Below are 9,345 nucleotides of genomic sequence, written 5' to 3'. Positions count from 1 at the left end.
GCCCAGTGCCCAGCACAGAGAAGGGGCTCGATGATAGTAGCTGAATGACTAAATTCTATACATCAGTCACTTGTGAATTCATTGTCCATCCTCCGCCCTGCTCCCGCAACCACTCCACCTGAGCACACAGATCTTCGTCCAGCCACCATGGACTCCACAGCCCATCCAGCTAGGAGCTCAGCCAAGTCTCTGGTGCAGAACAGACACCATCTCAATGTCCAGCTGCAGAATTCCTGAAATCGCTACCTTGTTACTCAAGGGCAGATCATGACTGCACTGTGCTTTTCACTCAGCTGTGGGTAAGGATGTTGTTTTTCTCTTATAAGATGTAAATTCCTACAGGGCCATGACCACGTCTTCCGTCCCCTTCACCCCATGCACCCTACGTGCAGTGCCATCTATGTAAAACAACAGTGATTTCCCACAAAACACTGACTAATGCTGACATTTCTAGACAGCATGAGCCAATTGTTCAGATAGCTGGGGTCTGTGCATTTCACCATATGTAACGTTTACCTCAGAAAACAAGGAAGTCAACCTCTTGCAGCATTTGCTTTCCCAAGTGGCCAGCGTTAGCCATTCCGAGGCTCCCTTCTGTGCATTCCAGCTTTGAGCCCATGATTAAATGAGGACAATGGAGCTGGTTTCCCATGGCTGGGTAGGGAGTGGTAGCAGGCAAAGTGGGAAGGGCTGAACATATCATGGTGAGGAGCTGGACTGGAGCTCTCTCTACACATCCATGGTTCCAGCATACACAGAGAAACAGAGGTAAACAAGACAGAGCGCCATCCTCTCTCTCCTGCTCAGAGGGCCAACCAACGGGAGACGCATGCCACACCAAGGGCAAAGCACACAGCCCAGCTCTAAATGCACACGTTCGTGGCTTCTCAATGCCATTCGCCACTAACAGGAACCAGGCTCCTTGGAGAAAAGGCTAATTCCAGGACTGGGGCAGGGAGGGCACAGAGTGAGCTTGGGCCCTCTGGTTGTGCTGGAAAGTCAGGACGTGCTCCCAAACAGGTATGGCAAAAGGGCAGCATCAGTCAGGAGGCGACCACTCAGCAAGAAACGGCTTGAAGGTAATGGATCAAATGAGCATGACAGTACTGGGACAAAGCACCGTCGTGTGCTCCTGATGGGATTCACTGACAAAGGTGCATCATTACCCAAAATGCCCCATCTCAGTGTGAATATGAGGAAAGACTAGGCAGCTCAAATTCAGGACATTCTACTACATGCAAGGCCAAAACATTCAGAGACAGAAAGCAGAAGAGCGGTTACCAAGGGCTGGGGAAGGGGAATGGGGAGTTGGTGTTTAATGGAGACAGTTTCAGTCTGGGAAGATGGAAAGCTGCTGGAGATGGCTGCTGGTGGTGGATGCTGGTGGTGGCTGCACAAGCATGTGGGTGTGCTTGCTGCCACTAAACTGTGTGCTGAAAGATGGTTGAGATGGTAAATTCACAGTTAAAAAAATCAAGGTCAAGAAAGTCTAAAACAGACTGAGAGACTTCTTTAGATTAAGGTAGGCTACACAGACACGACCACCAAATGCAACGTGTGATCCTGGGTGACGGGCGGGGCATAATGAGGGCATTGCTGGGCAGGCAGCAACACCTGACCTTCTGAACTACAGAGGGCCGGGAGCACATATCCATGATACAGGTCCTGACTCTCACAACTGCACTGTGCTTACGTAAGAAAATGGCCTCCTCTAAGGAGACAGACACGGTGTTTAGGAGTAGAAGGGGGACAGCATCTCCAGCTCAGTCTGAATATGTAAATGGAGGGTGACAGTAAACAAGGCGAGATGTAAACAATCTGCAAACCTGGGCAAAGGCTATAGGGAAGCTCATGATACTATTCTTACAGGTTTTCCGTCAGTTTGAAATTACATCAACATTTTAAAATACAAAAAGTACTAGTCAAGAACAATAAACGCACCTGAAAAATATACCGACAGCTGGGTAAAATTCAAACTTGTTCTCGGCGACTGTCTCCTCTTCAGCTGTTTCCTGTTCGGCCTCTGAAGGCATGACAATTCTCTGCAGTCACACCCACCAATATGTGACAAGTTTAAGGGTTTCAGGGGTTTTTTTGAGACAGGGTCTAGCTCTGTCACCCAGTCTGGAGGGCAGTGACACCATCATAGCTCACTGCAGCCTTGACCTCCCTGACTCAAACCATCCCCTTGACTCAGCCATCCGAGTAGCTGGGACCACAGGCACATGCCACCATGCCCGGCTAATTTTTTGTATTTTTTGTAGAGACAGAGTTTCACCACATTGCCCAGTCTGGTCTCAAACTCCTGAGCTCAAATGATCCACCTGCCTCAGCCTCCCAAAGTGCTGGGATGACAGGCATCAGCCACTGTGCCCAGCCTAGAACACAGTTAAAGCATTGATTTGCAATGCCAAATATTTACTGGAATGGCATTTTCCATATATTTATGTATTTATTTATTATTATTTTTTGAGACGGAGTCTCGCTCTGTCGCCCAGGCTGGAGTGCAGTGGCACGATCTCGGCTCACTGCAACCTCTGCCTCCTGGGTTCAAGTGATTCTCCTGCCTCAGCCTCCCGAGTAGCTGGGATTACAGGCATCTGCCACCATGCCCGGCTGATTTTTGGATTTTTAGTAGAAAACAGGGTTTCACCATGTTGGCCAGGCTGGTCTCAAACTCCTGACCTCAAGTGATCTGCCCTCCTTAGCCTCCCAAAGTGCTAGGATTACAGGCGTGAGCCACTGTGCCTGGCCATTTTCCATATATTTAGACTTAGAAAAAGGTATCAAACTTCAGCTCTCCTGAAACAAGTATTGTAGATGACCAAAATACCTCCTTATTTTTGTATTTATTGATTTATTGAGTTATTGATTTATTTTGAGACAAAGTCTCGTTCTGTCACCCAGGCTGGAATGCAGTGGCATGATCTTGGCTCACTGAAACCTCCACCTCCCGGGTTCAAGCGATTCTCATACCTCAGCCTCCCAAGTAGCTGGGATAACAGGCATCCACGACCACGCCTAATTTTTAAATTTTTGGTAGAGATGGGTGTTTCACCATGTTGACCAGGCTGGTCTTGAACTCCTTTCCTCAAGTGATCCTCCCACCTTAGCCTTCAAAATTCCTTTTTAAAGTCATTTGAATAAGAGGAGGATAGAGTCAGAAACTGGAGGACACCTCCTATGTGTAATCCACATGCTATCTTGTTAAAACTCTAGCTCTAGAACTCCACAGGGTGATAATGAGGACATGTTCTTATCCATCTCAAGAGTCTTCCACAGCTCTTCAGAATGGAACAATGAGACAGAGTTTCACTCTGTCACCCAGGCTGAAGTGCAGTGGCAAGATCTTGGCTCACTGCAACCTCCACCTCCTGAGTTCAAGCGATTCTCCTGCCTCAGCCTCCCAAGTAGCTGAGATTACAGGCACCCGCCACCATGCCCGGCTCATTTTTCGTTATTTTTAGTAGAGACGGGGTTTCGCCATGTTGGGCAGGCTGGTCTCGAACTCCTGACCTCAGGTGACCCACCCGCCTCGACCTCCCAAAGTGCTGGGATTACAGGCGTGAGCCACCGTGCCTGGCCAGCATGTTTTAAGTTTTTTTTTTTTTTTAATCTGGGTAGATGGTCTCTTTGTGACTCCTGAAACTCACATGAGACTCACTAATGAAAAGTATATCCATTTCAAGAGCAAATAAAAAGAGCGGAACTGTACCAGCCAGCCAGTCCACACTACACCCACAAACTCCACCCACTGGAACCCATCCACTTCACATTCTATTTCTACCTTCTTCAAATCAGTAGGATCCATGCTCTATCGTCCATTCCTACTGCAGCCGCCTCTTTTGTGGCTCCCAAGGTTTCTTTTCTTGCTGTTTTTATTGAAGCAGGGTGTCACTCTATTACTCAGGCTGGAGTGCACCAGCACAATCATAGCTTACTACTGCAGCCTCAACCTCCCAGGCTCAAGCTATCCTCCCACCTCAGCCTCCTAATTTGCTGGGACCACAGGTGCGCACCACCATGTCCGGCTTATTTTTTACTTTTTGTAGAGACAGGGCCTCACTTTGTTGCTTAGGTTGGTCTCAAATTCCTGGGCTCAGCATGTAGTTGGTGATGGGGAGCTGCCCAGGAGCCCAGCTAGGGAATTGTTGTGTATAAATTTGTGTTTAGAAAGATCTTATTGTCTGTGGATGGAGTAGAGGGATTGGAGAGGTGAGACAGAATTCTGGAGAAATAGGAGGCCCTGACGGTGGCTGTGTGGCCACATGTAAGGCCACTGCCCTTACAATCACACAAGCGCTGATGTGAGTGTCTCATGTGAGTCTCGGGAACCACAAAGTATCTACCTAGATTTAAGAAAAAAAAAACAAAAAACTTTTTAGATCCTCCCAGCTCAGCCTCCCGAAGTGCTGGAATTACAAATGTGAGCCACCACGCCCAGCCCCCAGGGCTTCTCACCTGGATTAGCACAACTCCTCTCCACTTGGTGCCCCCACCTCCAGTCTCGCCCCTCTCCAATCACCCCACTCCATCCATAGCCAATAAGGTATTTCAAAACACAAATTTATGCACAACAACTCCCCAGCTGGAATCCTGGGACAGCTCCCCATCACCAACTACATGAAGTCACTGGCTGCTGGGAGTTTAATGCTGGTCAATGTGGATGATTTCTTTCATAAATGCAGTTCAATGCAAATGATTTACTTATTTAATATTAAATCAAGATGCTCCCCGTAATAATGTCATTCTCACCTGTAATTACTATGATTGATACCTATACTTGCGTATTGTAATTTGGTGCTACCGTGTCTGTCAGTCTGTCTAGGCAGCAGCGCCCTGGAGAGACAGGACACTTCCCGTGAGCTGTCCACCTTGGCTGAACCTCTGGCCACCTCCTCCTTGCCAGACAGAGTGGACATTCCTCCAGACAGACTGGGTGTTCCTCCACTCCCAGCACAAGAGCTACTGGGTGGGCGGTGGTGCATCTCCCTCCGGACACACACTAGAAATCTGGAGCAATAGAAGGACCTGATGGAGGGCTAGGTGGCCACATGTAAGGCCACTGCCCTCACAATCACACAGGCTCTTCACAAACATCCTCCCAGCTCCAAGTCCAGAGACCTCAACAGTTCTTTAGGCAGAGCGAATGGAAAGAGGGCAACAGATTAGGGCCTTTATGTTTCTTATCTAATGTCACTTCAAGGCCCTGCCTGACATTTCTGACCAGCCACCTGATATCCTCAAGCCCTTCTTCCTAAGGATGAGGCCCACTTTCTTCTAACTACACTAATAACTCTCAAACATCTGGCAGCAGGGCCCCTTTACGGTCTTAAAGGTTCCTGAAGACCCTCAAAGAGCTTTTTTATGAGTTTCATTTATCAACATTTTCCGTATTGAAGGTTAAAACAGAAAAACATAATTGATATATTTATGAATTCACTTAAAAATCAAACTTATTATATATTCAAATAAATAACATTTCTACAAATAACTATATTTTCAAAAATTGTCAGTTATCTTGTCACTTGTCTCAGGTGGCTTTTTTTAGATTTTTGCAAATCTCTTTAATATCCAGCTTCATAGAAGACAACTGGATTCTCATTTTTTTTGTTGTTGTTGTTGTTTGTTTTGTTTTGTTTTGTTTTGTTTTGAGACAGAGTCTCACTCTGTCACCCAGGCTGGAGTGCAGTGGCGCAATCTCAGCTCACTGCAAGCTCTGCCTCCCGGGTTCACGCCATTCTCCTGCCTCAGCCTCCCAAGTAGCTGGGACTACAGGCGCCCGTCACCTCGCCCGGCTAATTTTTGGTATTTTTTAGTAGAGATGGGGTTTCATCGTGTTAGCCAGGATGGTCTTGATCTCCTGACCTCATGATCTGCCCGCCTCAGTCTCCCAAAGTGCTGGGATTACAGGTGTGAGCCACCGCACCCCACCTTGGATTCTCATTTTTGGTGCCACATTCAATGGGTTGAAATACACTGTTTTGGTTGAAGTATGTGAGAAAAATCTGGCCTCACAAAGATACATAATGGCAGGAGTATCAGAATATCCAAATAATTGAGAATATTATTATTTGATATTACAACAAAATTGAGTAAGTGGTAGTTTCTTAAAGATCTGTTGCAATCTATTTGAATAAAATATTTAAACTCTCACTATAGGCAACATAGTGAGACCCCATCCCTACAAAAAATCCAAAAAAAAAATCTAGGCATGGTGACTCACACCTGTAGTCCCAGCGACTCAGGAGGCTGAGGCAGGAGGATCACTTGAGCCCAGGTCAAGGATGCAGTGAACTGTGAAACAAACAAATAACAACAAAAAATATACACACACGCACACAACAGAACATCAAGCGGGGTGTGGTGGCTGACCCCTGTAATCCCAGCACTTTAGGAGGCCAAGGCAGGTGGATCACCTGAAGTCAGGAGTTCGAGACCAGCCTGGCCAATATGGCAAAACCCCATCTCTACTAAAAATATGAAAATTAGCCAGGCGTGGTAGCAGGCACATGTAATCCCAACTACTCAGGAGGCTGAGGCAGGAGAATTGCTTGAACCTGGGAGGCGGAGGTTGCAGTGAGCCGAGATCGCGCCACTGCACTCCAACCTGGGCAACAGAGCAAGATTCCGTCTTAAAAAAAAAGAAAAAAAAACACCTATCCTCTGGTGAACTTTTTGTACCCTATTACATTAAAATCCACTGGTCTAACATTGAACGGATCTTTTACCTATGGATGATTTTATAATATCATGGATTGGTCATCTGGAAATATTTGTTCACTGAATTATGCAGCTGTTCCAAATGTGGGCACATTTCATTCTACAACATTAATTCCATTCATTAATATCACTATGGATCTCACCAGAAACATCTTTAAGTCTTGGGAAGCTGCCAGGCTCACAGCGGCAGATACAAGTTTTCCAAAACCAATTTTCACTTGAAGGTTCAAATTTCATGACTGGCAGCAAATACTGTCAGCTGTATTCCTTGAAGTGACAGCTCACTAAGTTCATTTTCAAAAACACGTCTGCCGTGGACACAGGCCTCAACATCCAGAGGCGGCCTGTCGGTGATTCCTTTGGGACGTGCTGCGTCCATGAAGGCAGCAGATGCTCCTCCTCCAGGCAGCCACTGGGCTTTGCCTGCAGGAGAAGGAGCAGCACACACAGTCTGAAAAAGATGTGTGCTTAACAGTCAAGATTTAGTAAAAGTCATCATTTTCACTGCTTTATTAGCAAGGACATTCTCTCCATGTGCATGGCAAAGAAATCAGGAACTAGTAGTACAGCTTGGCACCGCTGTCTTGATTCATCACTTTTGCACTGTCAGTGCAGGTATCAACAGAGTGGAAAAGGCCAATGGTGTTCCATTATTATGAAAACAGTTTTGACCTTGTGGATCCCTGCAAGGGTCTAGGAGAAGCCCCAGTGCACAGGGCACATGCTGTGAGCAGACTGAGCATCCTTCTCTGTCTGCTGAATGTTGGTCTGCTGGTCTGCTATTTTCAACCCCCTGACCTCTTAACATAAATGTTTCAGTGGAGACATTATGATACAGTTTTGTTTTGTTTTGTTTTGAACTAAACTTTGTTTCTCCCTCTGCACAGGTTCCACTTCCTCTCACTGCTAGCCATGTTACTTATGTAACTTTAGGTAAGCCATTCAACTAAAACGTCAGTTACCTCATCAGTAACACGGAGAGAATGATCCCTAGGTAATTTATGGTGCTGTTGAGCCTTAAAGATAATGTATGTGGAAGCCTTTTGTAAACTATCCATTTTGTATCAGTATAGTTTTGTTGAATCCCTACTATGTGCCAAGCACTGCCCTATGGACTAGCATAGACTAGACTAGGTCCTTGCTTTATGATGAAAAGCTCACATCTCCAGGAGGAAGTAGGGAGAAAAATATCAGAGAAATAAATAGCCATCAGGAGGGTTTATGAGTGACAGGGTGGCTGCTTCAGATGGGGTGATGGTGGGCCTCTCTGAGGAAGGGACCTAGATGCTAAGTATGAACGACGAGAAGGGGCCAGGTGTGCAAAGATCAGAGAGAAAAGCATTCCAGGAGTTTCTATCCAAGAAGCAGAAAAGGCAGGCAGAGGCCAAATCATGAAGGCTTTGTGAACCAGCAAGAGGAGTCTGAGTTCTACTTTAAGCACAGAGGAAGCCAATGGAGACCACCAGTAAGGAAGTAACAGAATCTGATTCACACTTTTGTGGGGAAAAGCAAGAGAGATCAGATTGTTACTGTGTCTGTATAGAAAGAAGTAGACATAGGAGACTCCATTTTATTCTGTACTAAGACAAATTCTTCTGCCTTGAGATTCTGTTAATCTATGACCTTACCCCCAACCCCGTGCTCTCTGAAACATGTGCTGTGTCAAACTCAGGGTTAAATGGATTAAGGGCGGTGCAAGATGTGCTTTGTTAAACAGATGCTTGAAGGCAGCATGCTCCTTAAGAGTCATCATCACTCCCTAATCTCAAGTACCCAGGGACACAAACACTGCGGAAGGCCACAGGGACCTCTGCCTAGGAAAGCCAGGTATTGTCCAAGGTTTCTCCCCATGTGATAGTCTGAAATATGGCCTCGTGGGAAGGGAAAGACCTGACCGTCCCCCAGCCCGACACCCGTAAAGGGTCTGTGCTGAGGAGGATTAGTAGAAGAGGAAGGCATGCCTCTTGCAGTTGAGACAAGAGGAAGGCATCTGTCTCCTGCCCGTCCCTGGGCAATGGAATGTCTCGGTATAAAACCCGATTGTACGTTCCATCTACTGAGATAGGGAAAAACTGCCTTAGGGCTGGAGGTGGGACATGCGGGCAGCAATACTGCTTTGTAAAGCATTGAGATATTTATGTGTATGCATATCTAAAAGCACAGCACTTAATCCTTTACCTTGTCTATGATGCAAAGACCCTTGTTCACGTGTTTGTCTGCTGACCCTCTCCCCACTATTGTCTTGTGACCCTGACACATCCCCCTCTCGGAGAAACACCCACGAATGATCAATAAATACTAAGGGAACTCTGAGGCTGGCGGGATCCTCCATATGCTGAACGCTGGTTCCCTGGGTCCCCTTATTTCTCTCTCTATACTTTGTCTCTGTTTCTTTTTCTTTTCCAAGTCTCTCGTCCCACCTAACAAGAAACACCCACAGGTGTGGAGGGGCAACCCACCCCTTCACACTTTCAAAAAATCCCTCTGGCCAGGTGTGATGGCTCACGCCTGTAATCCAGCACTCTGGGAGGCTGAGGTGGGAGGATCACTTGAGCTCAGGAGTTCAAGACCAGCCTGGCCAACATGGTGAAACCGCATCTCTACTAAAAATACAAAAAATCA

General features: G+C 46.6%; 1 protein-coding gene across 2 annotated transcripts in view, besides 1 other annotated feature; it reads right to left on the bottom strand.

Annotated features, from left to right (window-relative positions):
• Positions 1-9,345, bottom strand: part of RPTOR (regulatory associated protein of MTOR complex 1) — a 421,531-nt gene that overhangs the window by 405,972 nt on the left and 6,214 nt on the right. The gene's annotated exons all lie outside the window — the stretch shown is intronic.
• Positions 3,121-3,321: a silencer, noted in NCBI's record as "peak3025 fragment used in MPRA reporter construct". NCBI's record gives its function as "represses an SCP1 promoter by STARR-seq MPRAs in K562 erythroleukemia cells {active_cell/tissue: K562}" and the evidence as "EXISTENCE:reporter gene assay evidence [ECO:0000049][PMID:32103011]".

Source organism: Homo sapiens, chromosome 17 (genome assembly GCF_000001405.40).
Source record: "Homo sapiens chromosome 17, GRCh38.p14 Primary Assembly".
NCBI classification, from domain to species: domain Eukaryota; kingdom Metazoa; phylum Chordata; class Mammalia; order Primates; family Hominidae; genus Homo; species Homo sapiens.
Note: the sequence above shows the minus strand (reverse complement) of the source record. Positions and strands in the feature narration are given on the sequence as shown.